The sequence below is a fragment of the Homo sapiens genome, chromosome 6 (assembly GCF_000001405.40).
Source record: "Homo sapiens chromosome 6, GRCh38.p14 Primary Assembly".
Lineage (NCBI taxonomy): Eukaryota > Metazoa > Chordata > Mammalia > Primates > Hominidae > Homo > Homo sapiens.
In genome coordinates, this window is record NC_000006.12 from 52,779,422 (window position 1) to 52,803,908 (window position 24,487).

At 41.6% G+C, this 24,487-nt stretch overlaps 1 protein-coding gene across 3 annotated transcripts; it reads right to left on the minus strand.

Annotated features, from left to right (window-relative positions):
* Positions 1-11,949: 11,949 nt before the first annotated feature.
* On the minus strand, positions 11,950-24,395 carry GSTA1 (glutathione S-transferase alpha 1). 3 transcript variants are annotated; one of them, NM_145740.5, is made up of 7 exons: positions 24,364-24,395; positions 19,760-19,876; positions 18,165-18,216; positions 16,761-16,893; positions 14,704-14,845; positions 13,435-13,566; positions 11,950-12,559 (listed from the first exon to the last, which is right to left on the minus strand). In NM_145740.5, the coding sequence occupies exons 2-7, from the start codon at positions 19,844-19,846 to the stop codon at positions 12,437-12,439; spliced, it is 669 nt and encodes a 222-aa protein (NP_665683.1). In that variant the 5' UTR covers positions 19,847-19,876; positions 24,364-24,395; the 3' UTR covers positions 11,950-12,436. The 3 variants fall into 3 exon arrangements, with proteins under 3 accessions (NP_665683.1, NP_001305988.1, XP_005249091.1); NM_001319059.2 differs by lacking the exon at positions 16,761-16,893; XM_005249034.5 differs by lacking the exon at positions 11,950-12,559 and having other exon boundaries at positions 12,627-13,566.
* Between the last annotated feature and the right edge of the window lie 92 nt (positions 24,396-24,487).

Below are 24,487 nucleotides of genomic sequence, written 5' to 3' on the forward strand. Positions count from 1 at the left end.
TACAGACATAAGAGTGCTAGTGGTACAAACACTGTACTTCAAATAATGTTGTTAATCACCTACCAGCCTAAGGCTAGTATCTACTTGATGGAACTTGAAAAAGCCACAAAGTCCAACTTGTTTAAAATGTTCAGACATAGACTTATACTTAAAGCTCTAGTATACATTTATTAAGCCCTAACCTCGTACCATAAAAAAATGGGCATGTGCTATATTTGGGACATGCAGACACACCCACGCCCACCCACAATCTCTCCCCTCCTCCTGTTTACTAGACTGAAAAGCCACCCTGTATCCTATCATTAAAAAAAAAAAAAAACAGTGCTTTTAGTCAAGCAGCACAACACAAGGACGGATCATCTGTGATTAACAGAAGAGAACACCTTAAAATAATGGGGGAGAGACAAATTAACTAGGTACTAAGTCAGATTTCCAAGTGAAAAAGACATGAGCAAAACTTCTGGTCTTAATTCCTCAAATAAAATGAAAATAAATAAAATGGTAACAGAGTGACTTTCTCTAAATTTTTTAGGGAGTTTGTTACAAACCTTTGGGCTTTACAGGCATGATTTCATGGATTCAAACACGAAATTAACACTGATATTTAGCCTTCTCATGACACACACAGAAATACCATTGCTGCAAATTGCAATGGAGCGAATCTTGTTTCAAATGGCTTAGTTTGGGGTTTTGTCTAAATGTATCATTATATAATGAAAGCACCAATTAGAGGGTTTCTCAAATAGTGATTTGAATTTTAGGACATAACAGTATAACATGGTAGCTTTATTCTTCATATATAAACAAGGCATAATTGGATGTGTAATATGCTGAAAATACATTTTATCAAAAGCATAAATACAAGTATTTGGGTACACATTGATCCTGTTATTTCATTTATGTTTTTATCCCCCATCCAGCTACAAAATAGGTCCCTTGTATTGTCTGTGTTGATTTATCTTCATGATATCTTAGAAAGAAGTTGGGAGAGACTGCAACAGGCCACCAGCCAGATGCCATTTAACATGGGAATTTCTCAAAGTAAGTCTCATGCTGTTGAAGACATTAAATACAGTTCTGAGAGAAGTTTCTATGTAGGCTCTTTGTGTGCTCTTCAATACCCCCATTAGACAGTGTGTGCAGGGCAGGCTCTGTGTTTCTTACCCCATAGCTGCTACCCTGACTCATGTCCCTCCTCACCCTCTGACCTGCACATCCAACCAATTCAACACTGTCTCATTATCTAAGTCTACATCATTGAAAAAATATCACCTTGTCAAACTTATAAGAGAAACAAATTCAAAATGGACCTATTTCAACTCCTTTTGTCTAAAATCTGTCCTTGAATGGGGTGGGCTATATGGCATCCTGAGCTGATGACCACAGCTCACTCATGGTGCCAAAAGCAGGAAAGTAAGAAAAGGGCATCTGCAGGGCGCTGCATATGGTTCTCCAGCAAATACAAAGAGAAGTCTGGCCCTTTTTAGCCTGGAAAGAGTTGCCAGACCGGCTCTAAGAGCCCACCCTTTCCATTTTATCGATTTTCTCCTTCTCCACCATCAACAACTACAACCTTACATACACAAAGCATTGCTTGGCTGTTCAAACCTCCCTGTGTATCTTCTACTAGATACCCTCCTCAGAGGCACTTAGAGGCTTGATCTTACCATTTCTTAACTTTTCCAAATCTTTTGCAGATTCCAGAAATTTCCTTTCAGACTGGAAGCAGAAACAGTAAATGGGCTCTTGTTAATTCATTCCATAGCATTGCAGACCTTTAACCTTGAATGGCTTCTGTCTGGTACATAATTTGGAAAATATAAGACTTCTGATCTTGGCAGAGCATGCAGAGGAGGCTGGTGGTGGCCATTTTGAAATTTACACTAGATCATCAAGAAAAGGGCATGGATCACAGCACATAGTCGCTCAATCTTCTAGTTCACTTTACTTCCACCTTGATCACTCCCATGTCCCTGATTAGGGCATCATTTGACAGGGGATGTCACTGGAGTTAAGGGATCAGGCAGTTCTTCTAATTATGGAGTTGTCATATCTTAGGAAAGCATATGTCTCTGAGTGAGATCAGACCACAGCCTTTGTGTCCCCAGCATGGGTATGCCATGGGCCAGTGACCACCAAAGATTCTGCCACCAAGGGCCCTCTGCTGTAATTTACATCAGCTCAGTTTGTAGGAGCCCTGCTAAGGGTGAAATAGGTCATAGCTGTTGCATAGTTATAACTCTGGCAATTATAATTTCCCCTCCTGGAGTATATGGGACACAATAGGATAGAATTCTCAATTTTAGGAAGGAATTAAAGTCCCCACTGTAACATTATTTTTAATGAAAATCTCTGGCTTGTGACATGGCTGTGTGGGTTTAATATCCTGTCATGTCCTGGCTTCTTGACTTCGGACACATTGTAGACTCCCTCTGTGTCTTAGTATCCTAACCTATGAAGTGGGTATACTTATGGTACCTATGTTATAGGTTGGTATGAAGATTAAATTACAAAGTCATGCAAAGCACTCAGAAAAGTAGCAAGTGTATAATAAGTGCTCATTAAATAGACACTATTAGGATTCTGAGAGATGGCTGCTGTTTCATATCATCATTAAAAAATTAAATCAATCTAATATTGATGATAATATACTATATTGCTGATCTATATCCAGTGATTTAAACTTTGAAATAAATCACACCTTGTCCTGAGTGTAGTCACTTTGGTTGGAATGGCAGCCAGCAATAAGGCTGTCTCAATCTGATCAGAAGCTCTGAGTGGATGCAAGTATTTAATACAAATATGAAAACCAGTTATTGCATAAAAATACAGTTGACTTAATAGGCAGAATCTATAAAAATAAAAATCAAAGTAGACACTTATCAAGATTTTCTGTATTTCACTGTTGATATGATCTGGTACCAATCTTGACTCTGCCTCAAAATAGCTGTGTGATCTGGGAATCATCACTTAACATCTTCAAGCCTTAGTTTCCTCATCTGCAAAATGGGGATAGAACATTTTCTTAAACAGAATATTGTAATGTTTTCAAAATGCATGATACAGGGCCTGACCCACATACATCAAGGAATAAATGGTAGTTGTGTTTGCAGTGGTTACTTATAGTTTAATGGAGATCTTTATGGTGAAAGTTCAGGAATTTGGGGGTTTCTAGCTTGCTCCATGGAAAAGAGTTTGTTGTGGATCTATGATTGCACAGTAGCAGGATCTGGAGATCATGGGGGGTGTGTGCCAGCAATTAATAAAGCGTCCAATTCAGGACAAACCTAAGGAATGGTGGGTGGTCCTGGCAGGAGGGTGACCGAGGTGGGGTGGGATTGGCAAGTGGGATGTGCTTGTGAGGCTGAGGACTGGGTTGTGATCATCAGCCTTAGGGCACTGAGACCCCAGAAGCCTGAGTAAGGTCTGCAGTCAGCCCTTCCACTGCCTTCAGTCAAGCTGGATGGATGCCAGGGAACCTGGGTTCCTCCCAGCCTTGCCCCTCCCTCCCTCCTGCTGAACTCTTCCTACCCGGGCTCTGAACACATCCCTGAGCTGCAGAGCTGATGTCTGGGTGACAGTGAAACAGGGTATTCATTTGTACAAAGAAAACAACCTGGAATGGCAGTGTTTGGATTTCTTGTGTGCTTACTTCCTCATAGGATTGAGAAAGGGTGAGGCTAAAGGGTTTGGCCCACAAAACCATTTTTCTCTCTAGGCCTCTAGGCCTGTGATGGGAGGGGCGGTAACAAAGCCCTGGGCATGCCCTGGAGACATTTTCCCCATTGTCTTTGCTGTTAACATTTGGCTACTTTTGCAAATTTCCAAACTTTTGCAAAAGGAGCAGTATGTTCATAACTGAGACTTTTGCAAATTTCTGCCACTGGCTTGATTTCATCCCCTGAAAGTGGGGTTTTCTTTTCTACCATATGATCAGGCTGCAATTTTTCCAAACTTTTATGCTCTGCTTCCCTTTTAAATATAAGTTTCAATTGCAGATTGATTCATTCAGATTCAATGACAGATTTCAGATCATGTCTTTGGGAACACATATGAACATATGCTGTTAGAAAGAGCCAGGCTAAATCTTGAATGCTTTGCAGCTTAGAAACTTCTTCTACCACATACCCTAAATCATCTCTCAAGTTAAAAGTCTCACAGATCTCTAGAGCAGAGGCACAATGCCACGAGTCTCTTCGCTAAGGCATAGCAAGAGTGACTTTCACTCCCATTCCCAAAAGGTTTCTCATCTCCATCTGAGACCTCAGCCTGGACTTCATGGTCCATATCACTGTCAACATTTTGGACAGAACCATTCAACTAGTTTCCAGGAAGTTCCAAACTTACCCTCATTTTTCTGCCTTCTTCTGAGCCCTCCAAACTGTTCCAGCCTCTGCTCCTTACCCAATTTTAAAGCAGCTTCCACATTTTCAGGTATCTTCATAGGAATGTCCCACTTTTCTGGTACCAATTTCTTGTATTAGTCCATTCTCACACTTCTATAAAGACGTATCTGAAACTGGGTAATTGATAAAGAAAAGAGGTTTAATCAGCTCACAGTTCTGCAGGCTGTACAGGCGTCTGCTTCTGTGGAGGCCTAAGGAAACTTACAATCATGGTGGAAAGTGAAGGGGAAGCAAGCACATATTCACATGGCTGTCAGGAGAGAGAGAATGAATGGGAAGGTGCTACACACTTTCAAACAACCAGATCTCATGAGAACTCTATAAGAAGAAAGCACTAGGGGGATGATGTGAAACCATTCGAAAACACCCCATGGTCCAATCACCTCCCACCAGGCCCCACCTCCAACACTGGGGATGATGTGAAACCATTAGAAAACACCACATCGTCCAATCACCTCCCACCAAGCCCCACCTCCAACACTGGGGATGACAATACAACATGAGATTTGGGTGGGGACACAGAGCCAAACTATATCAGGTGTCATATTTTTTTCCTGTGAATTATTTTATAGCCTGGACAGGTCTCACATCTGGATCCAAAAGGAGGACATCACTGAAGCTCCTAATCTTTCCTTTATATTTTTCCCCACTATTAAACATTTATTCCAGGACATTGTTGACTTATATTCTAATGGCACCATACATATTAGCTGGGTTCCTTTAGGTGCATTTTAAAAACTAGCTATAAGGCTGGGTATGGTCACTCACACCTGTAAACCCAGCACTTTGGGAGACAGCAGCGGGAGGATCACTTGAGCCAGGAGCTTGAGTGCAGCATGAGCAACATAGCAGACCATGTCTCTACAAAAATAAACAAATTACATCAGGTGCAATAGCGTGCACCTGTGGTCCCAGCTACTCAGTAGACTGAGCTGGGAGGATTGATTGAGCCCAGGAGGTGGTGATTGCAGTGAGCCATGATTGTGCCACTGCTCTCCAGCCTGGGCCATGGAGAAAGACCCTGTCTCTGAAACAAAGCAAAACAAAGCCAGTTATATGCTGCAGTAATTATTTAGTTATTCTATCAGCTTCTGAATTTTAATACTTGAGAAGTCATGTAGTCTGCAGATTCCAAACCACAAAATATTTTGCTCCCATACCCCAGAGGACATTCAGAGTATCTGGAGACATTCTTGGTTGTCACATCAAGGCAGAAGGTGGTGGGTAGTGCTTCAACATAGGTAGGTGGAGGCCGGTGATGCCTTGGAACATCCTATCATGAACAGGACAGCCCCTGAACCCAAAGAATTACCCATCCCAAGGGGTGCCAAGGGTAAGATGAGAGACTTTTCCTTAGCCATTTTCAAGGTTTGCTGTGAGTTGGTTGAACCCTAGATAGAGAATGTAACTTGTCATCTAGCTAATTAGTGGGAAAGACTGAATCAGATTCTAGTTTTCCTGACATTCAGAAACTAATTTATTCCTATTATAAATCAACCTTAATTTTGAATTTTCACAGCTATAAAGTATTACAGTTACTTATATACACATTGTGTCCCTACTAAATTGTGAGGTTCCGAAAGAGCAGAGAGGTCTCACAGTATGTTTAACACAGTGTATTGCACATGGTAGTATTACAATATCACTGATACTTGGATAGATCACACAGCAATGCTAGACATTTTAGCAGTCACAGAGAGTTCTATAATTTCATCTTTTGAACTTCCTTGATGAGAAAATCAAATGATATAGAAAAAATTAAATAGAAAAATTAAATAATAGATTCCAGATAATGGATCAACCAATCCTGATTATCAGACTCAATTTTCTACAATTTCACAGAATAAATAAAGATATGGGTGTGGCTCACTGAGTAGACCCAGAAGGACTAAGAAAAGAGGAATTTGGAAAGAGCAAGGTTATCAGGCAAGTGTTTAATTGGGCAAAGGACAAGGATTAACAGATATTTGTTGAATCAGGAATCTGAAAATTCACAAGAAGGGCATTATTGTTTTTAATTTTGTTAATCATTAATCTAGGTCATCTTGCTTTATAGAACTAAAAGTTCTAAAGACTTAAATTCACCTGTAAGTTCTAGAAAACTGCTCTCAAAACATTCTGCCTCCCTTTGGAGCATTACAATCTTAAAGAAATATTGAAAAGCCAATGGCATCAACACTTGACAACAAATCACAAAGCACTTCCTGAAAGAAGCATTAATGTGTGATATCTACCATCAAGTTGCAAATTAGACTTGTGCTTGGCAGGTGTTGGTGGCTCTTTTCTCAGCAGGAGATGGAGGTTTGGAGAAGCAACTGCAGACATGGAACTGTCTAGTTGTATGTCCCTTTTACCAGTCATTGGGAATTCCCAAGTCTGTGATCTTGCCAAATGTAAGTTCACAATAATTGTGTGTTGATTACTTGTCTAGAAAATGTAACTTTAGCATAAACACCTACTTTTGCTCTGGCAATGATCATATTCTCAGATGACCTAAAATGACATTGACAGGTGACAGTGTGCTGGCAGCCCTCGCAGCCCTCGCTCGCTCTCGGCGCCTCCTCAGCCTTGGCGCCCACTCTGGCCACGCTTCAGGAGCCCCTTCAGCCCGCCGCTGCACTGTGGGAGTCCCTTTCTGGGCTGGCCAAGGCTGGAACCAGCTCCCTTAGATTGTGGGGAGGTGTGGAGGGAGAGGCATGGGTGAGAACCTGGGCTACGCCAGGCACTTGCAGGCCAGTGCGAGTTCCAGGTGGGTGTGGACTCGCCAGGCCCCACACTCAGAGTGGCTGGCCGGCCCCGCCGGCCCCAGGCAGTGAGGGGCTTAGCATCTGGTCCAACAGCTGCTGTGCTCAACTTCTCGCTGGGCCTTAGCTGCCTCCCCGCCAGGCAGGGCTCAGGACCTGCAGCCCGCCATGCCTGAGCCTCTCCCCCTACCCCGCCCCCTGACTGTGGGCTTTTGCATGGCCTGAGCCTCCCCAACGAGCGCTGCCCCCTGCTCCAGGGTGCCCAGTCCTATCAGCGGCCCAAGGACTGAGGAATGTGGGCACATGGCACGGGACTAGCAGGCAGCTCCACCTGCAGCCCCGGTGTGGGATCCACTGGGTGAAGCCAGCTGGGCTCCTGAGTCTGGTGGGGACTTGGAGATCTTTATGTCTAGCTAAGGGATCGTAAATACACAAATCAGCACTCTGTATCCAGCTCAAGGTTTGTAAATGCACCAATCAGCACCCTGTGTCTAGCTCAGGGTTTGTAAATGCACAAATGGGCACTCTGTATCTGGTTACTCTGGTGGGGAGGTGGAGAACCTTTATGTCTAGCTAAGGGATCGTAAATACACCAATCAGCACTCTCTATCTAGCTCAAGGTTTGTAAACACACCAATCAGCACCCTGTGTCTAGCTCAGGGTTTGTAAATACACCAATCAACACTCTGTATCTAGCTAATCTAGTGGGGACCTGGAGAACTTTTGTGTCTAGCTCAGGGATTGTAAATGCACCAATCAGCTCTCTGTAAAACAGACCAATTGGCTCTCTGTAAAATGGACCAATCAGCAGGATGTGGGTGGGGCCAGATAAGAGAATAAAAGCAGGCTGCCCCAGCCAGCAGTGGCAACCAGCTCAGTTCCCTTCGACACTGTGGAAGCTTTGTTCTTTCACTCTTTGCAATAAATCTTGCTGCTGCTCACCGTTTGGGTCCACACTGCTTTTATGAGCTGTAACACGCACTGCAAAGGTCTGCAGCTTCACTCCTGAAGCCTGAGAGACCACGAACCCACTGGGAGGAACTAACAACTCCAGAGGTGCCACATTAAGAGCTGTAACACTCACGCGAAAGTCTGCAGCTTCACTCCTGAGCCAGTGAGACCACGAACCCACCAGAAGGAAGAAACTCTGAACACATCTGAACATCAGAAGGAACAAACTCTGGACACGCCGCCTTTAAGAACTGTGACACCGCAAGGGTCTGCGGCTTCATTCTTGAAGTCAGTGAGACCAAGAACCCACCAATTCCGGACAAAACATCGTGACTATTTTTTCCCCTCATGGTATTAATTTTTCTACTATAATTAAATTCTCATAGTCTAGTTTTCTAAATTCTTCATTTTTGCGTTTCTTTAATGATTGTGAGAGTTGTCAGAGTCAAAAGGAGTCACAATGTTAGGAAAACTCTGACAACAGAGCTGAAAAAGGCCATAAAGAGAATGTTCTTACTGTTTATCTGATAACAAAACAAACTAGGAAAAACACAACCTTGAACAAAGGCCATCGCAATCTTAATAAAAGAATCTGTTAGGACACTTGCTCAGCAACTGCCTGTTGAAACTTGGCCTGGCATTACCCTTGTTATTGACATTTGTAGTGACTGATAAGTATTTCAAAACGTTTATTTAATCCTCATTTTATTCCTATAAAAATCTTTGTCTTCCTTAACTTCCCTGAATACATACATAGTTTACTGTGATAAACATATACCCATTACAACACTTAATTCTCAAATAAATATCTTTTATTTGAAAGGGTCTCTTTATTATTTAAGTTGAAACAATGTATCCAAAAGCAGGTGAATGCAGAACTTTTAAACTGTCATCCAAGCACACAGAAAAGGCACTAATATAAGTATAAAACAGATTTTTCTTGTGCCAAGGACACATTTTAAAGTATTTTTCTAGTGACCTAGATGGGAGGTCATGAGGTAATGTAGGGAGACTTCTAAGATCAGTATTTACTTTGTTAAAGGCTGTCACCCTTGTGGCTCAACAACTTAATTTGAGGTCCTAATGTGGTGTATAAACTACATGTTCGCTTCAATAGCTCCCTCCCACTGAAAGGAATAGAGTCAAGTTAAAAACAGCCACTCCCACACATTTCAGGGCTGCAGAACTGCCTACCAGATTCTAAGAAAAATCGCAAGTCATCCTCTTATCACAAGGTAACTAGTTAATATGTTCCTTTTCAAGGTTGGCAATAAAAGTCTAACCAAAAATTTCAGCAGATTTTGCTCTCTTTACAGTAAGTCAGTAGAAACTGGCTTTTTGAAGACGCTCATTTTTAATGACTTGGATGTAAGGACTAAGGCAGATGAGAAATCTCTGCTGGGAGCATAGCTGGCAGGGGATGTCTGTGAAGGGCAGGCTGATGGCACTCTGGAAGTCTTCTCTTACTGGGTTGCCACACAAAATACAGGGCACCCAGGTAAATATGAATTCCAGGCAAAGGATCAGTCATTTGTTAGTATAAGTATGTCCCAAACACTGTAGGAAACATGTTTATACTAAAAAAGTATTGCTTGTTTGTCTAAAAATTCACATTTATTTGGGTGTCCTGTATCTTATCCGCCAAATCTGGCCACCCTATTTTTACAGTGTTACCTCTCTGCATTGCACAAATCACCCTTCCTGGCCTCTGGGCCTTTGCACATGGCATTTGTCCTGACTGGAATACTCCACTTTCACCTCCTACTGTATTTTCTCTATTGTGTCTTTCCCTACATTAATTTACATGATGTATTCAATATCTGATTTCTCCCTAGACCTTGAGCTCCTGAGAACAGAGCCTTCTTATGTCAGTCCAGTCCTTATTGTCTGGGACAAAACCTGGACATTGTAGGAGCTCCTAAAATAAGATAGTTTTAAAATTTACATGGAAAAATTCTGGCAAATACAAAAGTAGAGGGAATAATATAACAAGCTTGAAGGTACCCATGACCTGCATTCATCAATTGCCAGCAACATTTCTTCATCTATACCTGGCAGTGGATTAAGTTATGTTGGCTCCCAAGAAAGACAGGTCCATGTCCAAATCCTTGAGTCCTGTAAATGTGACCTTATTTGGAAAAAGGCTCTTTGCAGATGAGGTTAAGGAACTTGAGATGAGATCATCCTGGTATATCCAGATAGGCCCTACATCCAATGACAAATGTCCCTGCAATGTAGCGAATAGAAGACACAGACACACAGAGGGTGAGGTGCTGGAAGCCCCAGGCAGAAAGTAGAGTGATGTGGCCATGATCCATGAAAGTCCAGAAATGCCAAGAGCCCCCAGAAGCTGTAGGAGGCAGGGAAGGATTGTTCTCTAGTACTTCCAGGGGAATGTGGCCCTACTCACATCCTGACTTCAGGCTTCTGGCCTTCAGAATTGTAAGCAAATGCCTTTCTGATGTTTCAAGCCACCCAGTTTGTAGGAATCTGTGACAGGAGCCACAAGAAAATGATACAAACTCCCACATACTCCCACCACTACCAGGGGATTCTTTTCAAGCAAATCCCAGACAGCATATCATTTCATCTGTAAATACTAGTATTCATCTCTAGAAAGGAAGAACTTCTTTTCTAAACATAATCACACTATGATTGTGTTTAATATGATAATCTCTTATCATATTAAAATTCTATAATTCTTTAATTTCATCAAAGCTCCAGCGTTCTAGTTCATGTAAGTGTCCCATAAAAATTTCTTAGCAGTTTGTTTATTTTGGTCAGCATGCAAGCAAGGTCCTTACAAAGCATTTGAGGGATATGAGTCAATTTTTTTTTTTTTTTTTTAGAAATTAATGAATGAATAGAGACAGGTAGAGAGTGTGGGGGTTTGTGAGTTCTCAAAGCCCAATCTCATATACCCAGGTTCTGGAGTTGCATAGAGCTGTGCATGGGTCTGTGCAGATGTCATTGTCCATTAGTGATGAAGCACTGGGGACCCAGCAGGCCAAGCCTCACACCACAGGCTCACAGTACAGGGGAGCAGACACAGTGGCCCTCAGGTGTTATTAGAGGCTCACTGGGACTCTGTGGAGGGCAGAGGACAGCCCAGTGCTCCTGGGAAGCAATGAGGTAGTGTTAAGTGTGTCCACTGGGAAGGAGCTTGCCAGGCAGGGCTAGCAAACGCACCCAGGCAGGAAGGCAAGAGGCCCCACCATGCTCGGAGAGTTGACTGGGCTGAAGATCACGGAGTGAAGACAGGTGTGAGGATGCATTGTATATGCAGTCAGGACTCACTGAAGAATTCTGTGAGTATTTTTCCAATTTGTATTTTGGAAAAACTACTCTGGTTGTAAGTGGAGAAGAGACTAGAGCAAAGTGAAGCTGCAGGTAGGAAGCCTGTGTGTTTGTCTGCTCCCTCAACCACCTCTGCCAACTGTGGGGAAGCTCCCTCTAAGAGGAGGAGAGTGCAAATTGCAGAAGCCCAGGTGTCCTGGGAGAGATTAGCACTATGGGACCAGTATGGGGGTGGAGCTAGAAAGCACTCCTAATCTAAGCATTCTGGCACAGTGACACACCAGGGAAAAATGATTTTGCATATAGTTATTTGTATTTCACATATACCATCTGTATCGTGGCAGCCAGGCCTGAGTGGCACTGAAGGAACTGAGAGAAGGCTTATGCCTGGGACCCCACAGAGCCTTAAGGAGCAGAGTGAGGATGAGCCAGGAGCACACACACTGTAAGGGACAATAGGGTGGCCTGAGAGCAGAGGGTGGGTCTGTTTGCTCTTCAGTATTTCCTCACCTCCTAGAAAACTGAGGAATCCACAGCAGACAGAATCATTGTTTTGCAAATGCATAAGAAAGAACGCTTTTATCAGAAATAAAATGACTGTCCAGGAAAAGAAGAAAATGTCTTTATGCCATTATCCAGGATGGTAACTCTTCTCCTGTGCATACCTGAAAATGTCAGAAGTGCATTTCTACATTGACATTTTAATAGATTGTATGACAAATTGTATGTTACGGGACAATTCTTGGAAAAGTCAAACAAACCACATAATCTATAGTTTCCTTTTTTACTGAATTTTTAATTCCAGGAAAATGGTTGGCTAGGAGAAGATTGGAAATCTGAATTCACATCAGATCCTAATGAAAACAAATCAATTTTAACTAAGTCAGCGAATAGGAGTTGTATTATTTAATTAGCATATAATTTGAAAGAGTTCATTAGCTTCACAACAGGCACAATCAACACTTAGGTAAAGTACTTTATTGTTGCAAAACTTTAGAACATTGGTATTGCAAGTTCTTGGCCTCCATGACTGCGTTATTAAAACCTGAAAATCTTCCTTGCTTCTTCTAAAGATTTCTCATCCATGGGAGGCTTCCTTGGGCTGCCAGGCTGTAGAAACTTCTTCACTGTGGGCAGGTTGCTGATTCTGGTTTTCAGGGCCTGTAATTCATAAAGCACAGCCTCAGAGTGAAGCCAAGGGCTGACACCACCATTAACATGACCCAGGGAATCTGAGCCCCTCCTGCAAAGACCAAGTGAGTCTGCTCCATCAGCACAAGCATGGAGGCAGAAACAGACACCCAGTGAGAAATGAAGATAAGGGGAAGGACATGTAGCTCACTTTATTTTCCCCAAAGATGTCTTGAAGTTTTAATCAGTTCAGTCATCTCTATCTTTCTCCTTACACACTAATCCTATAGATTAGTGACTCTTGTATAAGACAAGAAAAAATAATGTGCCTGTGAGATATCAACACAGATGAGTCTCTAAGCAGAAGTGAAAACATGGGGAAATTATTTGGGAAGGGAATAGTTATAGAAAATATTAAAGACAAACCATGGGACCACCTTTTCTCAGTGAGAGATACAGTGTGGGGGGCCAGTGTTCTGGAGAGCTGTGCAGAGAGGAACACAATGTCAGACAGCAGGAGCCGGAGCCCAGGGAGGAAACCAGATGGAAAGGGCTCTGCTCAGACCGGCTCATTGTGGGCACATATGGGATAAAGGACATCACAGAGAACTCAGGAACAGAAACCACATTGAAATAGAGGGATGGGGAGAGATGCTGGGCCCTGGGTTCTTTCCATAATAAAGGGCAAAATACTCTTTGTGGGGTAGCATGCAGCACAGATTTCCTTTCCATAACAAAAGTGTTTTCATTCCTCAAAATTGGAGCCTGGAAGCTCATTTTGGAGACCTTGGGGCACTGAAGGCCTGGAGAAGACTGGGGCAAAACTTGGTCAGTCGCAGGGCCCAGATACAAGATCCCAAGATGGGAGATGTGGGGCTGCCTCTCTGGGCTGTGAAATGGGTCACCTTCAGCAGAGGGAAGCTGGAGATAAGACTGGAGTCAAGCTCCTCGACGTAGTAGAGAAGTTCCACCAGATGAATGTCAGCCCGGCTCAGCTTGTTGCCAACAAGGTAGTCTTGTCCATGGCTCTTTAAGACCTGGAGAATGGGAGGAATCAGATCAGGAACACATGCACACCCAGGCTAGGACCCCTGCTTCTTTCGGAGCCTCTCCACCCTGACTTTCCCCACCTCTGTTGCCTTACTGCATGGGTGCAGAAATCCAGAGCTTTCTCCACATTATCTGAATGAATGAGAGAGTAAGAACTGTAACTCTACTCACTCCTCAGTTGTAGCTCAGGCTCCCATTTTCTCTTCTCATTCTACATCACTGTGGCATCTACACCACCCACGCAGCTTGCTTCTTCCACATGGGCCAGGGGCTTAGCACCTGCCTCCATGTGTTCTGTCTGCCCCAGGCCCTACAGCGTGGAGCCCTCACATTCAGGATGTGGCTCTACATTCTGCTCTCTCCCTCTCCAATCTCCCTTGGGCAGTGACTCCACCTTCATGACAACACTCTTCCCCAGGAGGAGACTATTTCAGAGTCCTCATTTCTCTTTGTCTGCTCTCCTCATTCCCTGCTCTATCTCCCTGGGATCTGTAGGAAACCTGGGTGAACCTGAATTCATCTTTCTTACAGCATTGACTCTCACTCCCAACTGGCACTATGTTATAATCTGCAAGCTGAAGCGTTTACGGGTGAACTGCACTGATGTCTGCAACTTACTCTAAAATCCATTTTAAAAAATCTTCCTCTGCATCCCACAATCACTCTCCTTTTAAAAAATACCCATCCCTGAAACGCTACAGTATTCTCTGGTTGGGCAATTGGTCTCCTATCTTCCTGCATATGGTGCCAGAATATTTTCTGATGGATCGCTTTCATCATGCCCCTGTTCAGTCAAAGTCCATGGGGTTCCATAGACTCAACAGCAACCTCTAGTGTGGTCCAGAGCCCACATTCTACTTATGAACATGAAATCTTGTTGAACAGGTAATTCCATGTTGGGGTCCAGTAAATTAAAATTTTACTGGAAAAGTATAGCTTGGGTATAAATGATACAATTGTTTCTCCAAGTCTATTTTCATAAAATGCCTTGAGAGTCAGAGTGCTGCATTGGTGTTCAGGAAGTCTCACTGAAAGTGAAGATCAGTGACCCAGGAATGCCCAGCCACTATTTTTCTATTGGCCTCTAAACTCAGTTCCCCAAAACACTGAACTGCTTCACTTACTTTTTCAAAGGCAGGGAAGTAGCGATTTTTTATTTTCTCTTTGATCAAGGCAAGCTTGGCATCTTTTTCCTCAGGTGGACATACGGGCAGAAGGAGGATCATTTCACCCAAATCTGCTATACCTTCTATATACATATCAATCCTGAAAGACAGAAACAACCAAATGGTCAAATACCTTTTGCCTTAGATTTTATAGGTTTATAAAAACCTAAGGGAGTAGAGTATCAGGTGATGGCAAAATAATTCACCTCCAGTGGGTGCCTTTTATAGTCTAGTCATTATGCTCTGAGTTTTACAGGTATATTAACATTTATCTCTTAACCTATCAAGGTAGATAGATCTCTAAATTTTGTTACACACATGACCTAATACAGGTAAAAAGAACGTCGGTGGTCACAGTCATGAGAGAAATTGGCAGAATCACTGCCAGTACCCACTGATGCTGTGCCAAGATTTATCATCTCCATTGTGGTTTGTTCTGTGCATGAACTTAGTGTGAGTCAAATGGCCAAAGACCTGCTTCCTAAGTAATCCTAAGAGAGTCCCTGGCACAGCCATGTCAGCCATATTCCTTGTCCTCTCTCATCATTTTACAGCTCCCAGGGCTGCTTCTATGCCCCATATTTGCAGTTCTTTCAATTACACCCATGAAACACATTTCCACAGCCCTTTCCATGTGCTGTTGCGCAACTCTAGCCATGTGTGCCTTTCCTGAGACCCCACCTAAGAATCCCCTTCCCTGGTGAAATTCTCTATACAGTTACAACCAGTGCAAACTTTTCTTCTTTTGTGTCAAACTGGAGTTTCACAATACTTTTTAAAACAAGAACTTTATTGATGCATATTCACATACTATAATTGCCACCAGGTATATTATACTATTGAGTGGTTTTTAGTGCACTCACAGAAATCTGTAAAAATAACCACAGTCTAATTGCAGAATTATTTTTGTCGCCCTGATAAGGACACCTGTACCATTAGCAGTATTCTTTTTTCTCCAAGCCCCACTCCTTTAGCTCCAGGCAAGCACTAATCTACTTTCTACCTCTATGGATTTGACTATCTGGACATTTCATACAAAAAGAATCCTATAATATGTGGCCTTCTGTGTCTTGTTTCTTTTATGTAACATGTCTTATGGCTTAACTGTCTTATAGCATGCATTAGTACTTCATTCCTTTTCATGACCAAATATCTTTCCATTGCATGGCTAAGGCACATTTTTCTCCTTCATTTATTGATTGATGGATATTTGAGTTGTTTCCACTTTTTGAATTCTATGAATATTGTTATTCGCATTATTTATTTATGTAAAATATATAGTGTGGATGTATTTTCGATTATTTGGGGATATACCTGTTAGAGGAACTGCTGGGTCATTGGTAATACTATATTAAAGTTTTTGAGGAGCTGCCAGCAGTTTCATTCAGGATTTATTTGGAATCATGCAGTCTCATCACAACAGCAAGGAGACCCCTTGGTTTTGCTGGTATTGAATCAATCTGGCTGTTTTGTGCTTCTATCCATGTGTCAAGGTAACCCCAGCATCCTTGGTGCCAGCCTCTACTAGCCCTGCTCAAGTATTCCAGTTGATATACTTGGTTGGTAATTTAGGTTCCCGGTCATCATTCTTGGAATTACTGGGACCTTAGCTTTGGCGTCTTTGCAACTTTCCCTCCCCAGTCCTTCATCTACAGACTCTCACATATTCTATGCCTGTCCTAAACTGTTGGCCAGAGTCGAGCCTCTGAAGTCCTGAGCACCTGGAATCATGATTCCCCATCCTCCTCAGTTCATGGTTCATCCGTGTTTGGAAATTACCGTGAGGTGCTGGATCCATGGACTGCATCCTCTTCTAGAATCACCCTTGCCTGAACCCTCCCCATGTTCACTGTTCCCTCATCTCCATGGGACTCTGCAATACTGGACCTCAGCGTACATGCCCAAGGCCCAGCCTGCTGCTGGTCATGATGCCCTGCCATCGTCCCACCCACTCAAGGAAGGACCTAAATCACTCTGTGTTCTCTGTGGATGGAAGAACAGAAAATATACCGTACAGGGCTCTCTCCTTTATGTCTTTCCCATAGAGGTTGTATTTGCTGGCAATGTAGTTGAGAATGGCTCTGGTCTGCACCAGCTTCATCCCATCAATCTCAACCATTGGCACTTGCTGGAACATCAAATATCCATCTTTAGAAGGAAGAAAAAAAAGGAGAGTGAAGTGTCTATGAAACCCACCCTTTTGGGATGAACAAATGGTTGTGGAAATGACTAAATTTGTAAAATGGCAAAGAAATTACTGCCTGGTAAGATTTCACTTGAAACAAAAACTATATATATATATATATATATATATATATATATATGTGTGTGTGTGTGTGTGTGTGTGTGTGTGTGTGTGTGTGTATATATATATATATTTTTTTTTTTTTTTTTTTTGGCAGAGTATCATTCTGTCACCCAGGCTGGAGTGGAGTGGCATGATCTTGGCTCACTGTAACTTCTGCCTCCCAGGTTCAAGTGACTCTCCTACCTCAGCCTCCCAATAGCTGGGATTACAGCCATGCACCAGTGCACATGGCTAATTTTTGTATTTTTACAAGCAATAGGGTCTCACCATGTTGGCCAAACTGGTCTCAAATTCCTGAACTGAAATGATCTACCCACCTCAGCCTCCCAAACTGGGATTACAGGCATGAGCCACTGCACCCAGTCCAAACAACATTTTTAAAAAGCTTCCTGTAGTTCTTCTTTTTCTTAAGAAGTTTCCTTTTACTTTTTATCCATTTATTTCATATATGTTTTTATTGCCCCTCCAGATACATAGTGGGACTCTTGTATTTTTTGTGTTGATTTATCTTCATGGATATTTTAGGAAGAGGTTGGGACAAGTTACAATAGGACTGGCAACAAGATGCCATTTAAAACAGGAAGTTCCCAGAGTAAGTCTCATGGTGTTGTGACATTTAAGGCAGGTTCTGAGAGGTTTTTATGTAAGGGTCCCTTTCTGTGCTCTTCAAAGTCTGCGATATTGCTACAGTGTTACCCAGTCCCACTCCCCCCATGAAAGAAAAAACTCAAGACAGTGGCCACATCTATTCCTCCTCCTTTTGTCTAATGCATGTTCTTGCATGTGCTTGGATGGGGAGGGCTGTATGGGATCCTGTGCTGATGACCACCACTCATTCATGGTGCCCCAAGCATGAAAACAAAGAAAGGGCTTTCTCAGCGGTGGGAGATTGTTCCTCTAGCAAATACTCTGAGAGGTCTGGTCCTTTTAACCTGGAGAGAGTTGCCAGACTTGCTCAAGGAGCCACATCCCTTCCATTTTAACCACTTTCTCCCTCTGCACCATGTACAAATACCATGCCCCACACCCATAGACATTGCCGGCTGCGCAAACCTCCCCGTGTACCTTCTACTAGATACCCTCATCAGAGGAACTTAGAGATTGATCTTACCATTTCTTAACTTGTCCAAATCTTCTGCAGATTTTATAAATTTCTCTTCAAACTGGAAGCAGAAACAGTAAATACGTTCTTGTTAGTTCATTCTATTATAGACTGTGGCCTTGAATGGCCCCATCTGGTGCATCATTTGGAGAATACAAGATTTCTGAGTTTGGCAGGGTACACAGAGGGGGCTGGTCATGGCCATTTGGAAATTTAGACCTAATTCATTGAGAAAAGTGCATGGGTCACAGCACATAGCTGCTAAATCTTTTAGTTCACTTCAACTCCACCCTGATATGAATGTCTATGATTAGGTCATATTTTGAGGGGGACATCACTGGAGAAAAGGCACTGAGCAGTTCTTCTAGTTATGGTGTTGTCATATCTTAGGAAAGCCTGTGTCTCCAAGTGAGATCAGACCACAACCTTGTGTGTCCCCAGCATGAGGCATGCCATGGGCTAATGGCTATCAAACATTTTGCCACCAAGGAGCCTCTGCTGTAATTTGTATCGCCCCACTTCTCAGGAACCCTGCTAAGTGTGAAATAGGTCGCCACTGTTGCACAGCTTTCACACTTGCAACTGTAATTTTCTCTTCTGAAGTACGAGGCACAATAGGGTAAAATTCTCAATTTAATAAAGGAATTAGGGTCCCACACTAGCATTATTTTTAAGGAAAACCTCTGGTTTCTGATGTGGTTTTGTGGCATTGGGGAATGCTTGTGTGTTCTAGAAGCCTCCTCCCCTCATTTTAACCACGTGTTTATTTCTCTGCATCCTCATAGACACGTAGGCTGCCCCAGGGCAGGGACTGTGTCTGTCTTGTTCACTATCTCCATGACCGAGTACAGAACCTGGAATTAATAAGTGCTCAAGTAAATAATTGCTGTGAATGTAGTCAATCTTTAATAGGTAGTTTGTTACAATCCACTCCCTTCCATCTCTCATTTGTAGTTTGCATTTTACCTCTAATTACAATCATTTTTTAATATTATGCATTTTTATTTTTTTATTGTGGAAATTATGAACATGAATAAATATAAACAGAAAAGCATAATGATTCTCCTTATACTTCTCACCTAGAATCAATAATTATCAATCAAAACCAATATGGTTTCATCTATATGCCCACCTACTTCTCCTCTTGTAATAATTCCAAGGAAATCCCAGATCCATATGATTAATCCTTAAATACTTCAATGTGTTTTCCTAAAACACATTAACTATTCTAAAGACAGCCATAGTACATTATCACACATGAAATATTAACAATAATTATTTCATGTCTTCATATATTCAATCGATATTCATGTTTCTAATTGTATAAATGCTATAAATTATTCTTTACAGTTTGTTTAAATTCTAATCCACTTAAGTTCTGCACTTTGTGATTAGTGTCTTAATTGTATTTTAATATGTTTGCTTTTAGATGAGAAGAAATTTTAAGAATTAATAGGTCAAATCTGTTCATCTTTTTCTTAATTACAGTCCATTTTTATTTAAGGCACAATGCTTCAGTAAGCAACATCTCATAGTTTCTGTGGGAAAAGTATGTGATAACACAATTTTAAATCCAACTTAAGATGACCTAACTCAGAACCTACCTCTACTCCAGCTGCAGCCAGGAGCCACCGGGTGGACTCCATTCTGCCCCGTGCATTGAAGTAGTGGAGCTTGGGCTTCTCTGCCATGATAGCAGTCTCCTGGAGGTTTCTCTAAGCCTGAATGAATGAATGAATGAATGAATAATTGAAACGATAGAATCAAAAATGTACTTTAGGATATGTAGTTGAAAACCACCAACAATACTGAAGAAGAACCTTCCTTCTTCATGACTGTGTTGGAGGAGTTCCTGGAATGTTTTCTTGGCTCAAATTGTTACCCAGCAGTGGCCACCCTCAGATTCCAGCAAACCAGTCTCAAGTCTTCATTGGCTAACTGTGACTTTTCTTGGCAGCATAAGAGGTGAGAGTATGTGGTAAAAATACATGTATAGGAGTTATTGGAAGAGGAAGAATTCAAGAACTAATATTTATTGAAAACTTCCTAGTGATCCTTCCTCAATGCTAGTCCCTTTCAATATTTTATATCTTTAACCCTCCTTATAGTCCCGTGAAATGATTGTTATCTCAATTTTTTAGTTAATGAAATGGAACATCAGAGAAATACAATGTTCACAGTCACACTCCGGTTGGTGATGGACATGAATATCTACACCAAGGACTAAAATGAAGTCACTCCTGGAAGCCAGCTGGGTGAAGGCCCTGGGAACCCATGAACTGGCCATGAAACCAGAGGATGTCACTGACAGGGAGGACCGGCAGGGAGCTAAGTCACTCTTCACCTCTTTGACTGTGAGACTACATTTGATCAAAACCAGAAATTAGGCCTCAGACTTGTTTAACTGTAGCTAGAAGATCCAAAATCTATCAACAGACAGAGATTGTTAATCCCTGCAGCTTTTGTAATTCTGTATTCTAACTCTATGGGGTGCATTTTGTTTTATAAGCTGGAAGAAGAGATGTTGCTGCATTAATTTTGCAATATGGAAGGAGCTAGCATTTGTTCAACATCAGTTACACACTGGTCATTCTTCTAAACTTCTCTTCGTTTTATCCTACAAAAATCACCTAAGATGAATGCAGTTGTTATTCTCATTTTACATTTGAGGATACTGAGGTTTTTAAAGTAACTTTCTCAGAGTAAATGATGGATCGGGATGCAGACTCACTGCTGTTAAAAACCAAGGACTGAGTCTTATTTTCTATGTTAGTGTTTCTGAAATATGCATGGTAATCTTTCAGTAGATTGTGAAAGCCCATTACTTTTAAAAATAAAATAGAAAAGAATAGAAAATGTCAGTGAGCATGACATGTTGAAAGGTAAGTAATGTTTGATGAGTTGTTAGTTTCAGTTATTTGTATATTGTGTGTACGGATGTTTGCACGTGTGCATGCTCACTTGCTCATTGTAAATGGTTAGAGAGAAATTGACTGGGCTCATCAGTGAAGTTTGATAGCCCTTGCTCTATCCCAGGCTGTTTGGGAGGTGGAACATAGCAGAGTATCAGAGAATGAAAACCAGTGGCTGCAGGGACAGATGCAACTAATTGTATCATGAATGTGAATGGAAGGGCACAGGACTCATTGAAAGCAGGAGTTCCAGTGCCAAGACTTAGGAACAGTTGCGTTTTCTCTCCAAACCCCCAGCTCTGATATTTAACATTAAGATTCTTCTTGCAAAGTTTTGTGGTTGTTGAGTGTGGAACAAAAATATACTTGCCTTTAACAACTAATGTATTTATTTATTTATTATTAATTTTGAGATGGAGTTTCACTGTTTTTGCCCAGGCTGGAGAGCAATGGCGTGATCTTGGCTCACTGCAAACTCAGCTTCCCAGGTTCTAGTGATTCTCCTCCCTCAGCCTCCTGAGTAGCTGGGATTACAGGCATGTGCCACCACACCCGGATAATTTTGTATTTTTAGTGGAGACAGGGTTTCAGCATGTTGGACAGTCTGGTCTGGAACGCCTGACCTCAGGTGATCCACTCGCCTCAGCCTCCCGAAGTGCTGGGATTACAGGAGTGAGCCACTGCACCCGGCCTCAACTAATGTATTTCTAAAAAGGTATGTATGACTAAAATTAGGCATCAAAATCTTTTAAATGTCTCATTTTAAAATATGGGAGTCAATAATTAACCTTTGGAAAGTAAAGAATTCTTTGAAATCATACTGAATCAACTCACCTGTTTTGTCATGAGATATTTTGACATTGTACTTTCTATGATAACTCCAGGAGCAATTTAAAGTAACTTGGGAAATGGAAATAGCATAATTTGACAGAGTGAAAGGGAGAGTGAAGTTCAGATGAAAGCATGGGGTATGCTTGTTTAATTGTTATCGACTAGAGTTCACAGTGTTGTAATTCCAATCCCCAAACTAAACTCTCTTAGCCATTGATTGAGGATCATGTTTCAAAAGGAAGTGAAATTTTATCTTACATAATATTTTATCACAACACTCCTGCTGATAACTAGCATATCACTTTCTCAATGTGAGGTTTCCAAGGGTCAGGCTAAGACTGAGACATAGGTTACCATTGAGCTTTGTTGGGTCAACAGAAAATGAGAACCAGAGAGCTCAAGGATTTGCCATGGGTCACACACACATGCTCCTCATTCATAGTCAATATCTAGGGAGTGTGTTTACCTTCCGCAACAACCCTGGGAAATGGCTCCTATTATCCAAATTAAAGATGGGCACACTGAGTTTCAGAGAGCTAAAGCACCTGTCTCATGCTGCACACTTGGTGAGTGTTGGGTCAGCCTTAACTTCTGATTGCAGGTCCAGAGCTTTTCCACTCCACCTCATAACCTGGCTCTCAGCTCCTGTCTGAGAAGTTGTTTTGTATTTTCCTATTAAATATATATTAGCCAAATAAATGTTGGAAGGAGAGGACGAGAGGGGAACATCTAATTCCTGAGTTCCTCCTGTTAGCAACTTTTCAGGGGCTTGCTTGGAAGAAAAAATTGATAAAACTGTGACTTTCTCTGATTTGACAACCTAAAAATCAGAGTGAGTTGAGGACTAGTATAATTACTTTACATCAATAATTAACTTACATCAATTAAAAAATGGGCTTGTTTTGAAAGGAATATAAGCTCTCATAATTCCAGGAGTAAATTAAAGGAGTTACATTTACATCTCTGAGGTGGTCCCAATGACACTGTTTCTTATCAGAGAGAAGGGAGAATGAGATAAACTATGACTCCTTCCATTATGAGATTCATAAATGCAGTAGGTTGTTTAATCTCTGAGCCTCAATTTTCTCTTCTTAGAATAGAGATAGTTATTTCTACTTTTGAGGGTTGTTGAGAAAGTTAAATGAGATAATGTACAAAAAATTCATAGTAGGAACACAGCAATGGGTGTTTGCTCTTGTCCCAGTGCTTGGAAGATGGGTGAGTCTCTGGACATATTGAGTAGCCCATGGATCCTCTTTCTTTGATCTATCTATCCATCAATTATTTTACTGACCAACAATCTATGTATATGTATCTATTTATAATCTCTGTCTACCCATCCATGTATGTATTATTTTATCTATCAATCGTTCTATGTATCTATCTCTTTGTAATCTGTCTCTTCATCATCTATTATCTGTCTTGTATCCATTTCTCTGGTTCTCTATATTTTGTTCATAGAACTCGAGTAGGAATAAGATTTTATATGAATCCAGACTTATATCAAATCTGTCATATGATGGCTCTCTGTTTCTCTCTCTCTTTCCTTTTTAGCTCCTGTACAGAAGATATTGATATTCACTAATCAGTCCACCTGGATTAACAGGAAATTTTCAGTGAATGTCCAAGCAGTGGGGCACATCAGTAACACAGCCTTGCTTAGCCCCATGAGGTCATGTAGTCCCATGGTTCTCAACCAGGGGGATTTTGCTCCTCTGCTCCAGAGGACATTGAGCAAGGTCTAGAGACATTTTGGGTTGTCATATCTGCGGGGAGGGAAAGGGGGTTACAAATCAGATAGGTAGAGGCCAGGGATGCCTAGAAACATCCTAGAGTGAGCAGGACAGATCTCCATTCAAAGAATTACACAGTTTAAAGGGCAGCAACAGTCGGAGCCTCTTTCTTAGCTATCCTCTATATTGGCCATGAGTTGGTAGAACTCCAGAGACAGAATATGACTTGTCTTTGAGCTAATTAGTGGCAAAGGCTCAACTAGAATCTAGTTCTCCTGACATTCAAACTAATTTATTCTAATTATACTAAACCTGAGTTTTGTATTTTCACAGCCAATATAGAATTACAGTGTCACAATTTACAATTGTGTGTTGACTACTTACACAGAGAAATAAATTTTTGCATACATTGCCACTTCTTCCAGCACTGATTATTCTCAGATTGTTTAAAATGCTACCATTTCTTTTTTCTCTTCATGTCATTGTTTCCCATACCATTAAATGCTGAAGCCCTGGTTTTCTAAATTCTTCATTTTTACAATTCTGTAAAGATGTATCCAACAGAAAAGAAATAAACAATTCTTGAACTGTCACCCAAGCACACCAAGACGGCACAATATGAGTAAAAACAGACTTTTCCTTGTGCTAAGGACACATATTAGCATATTTTTCTAGGAGGCTAGAGAGGAGGGTGTGAGGCAATGTAGAGAAATTTATAAGATCAGTACTTACTTTGTTAAACGCTGTCACCGTCCTGGCTCGACAACTGAATTCCAGGTCCTAATGTATTTATAAGCTCTTTGTTCCTCTCAATAGTTCTCTCCCACTGAAAGAAGAGTCAAGTTAGGGAAAAGCC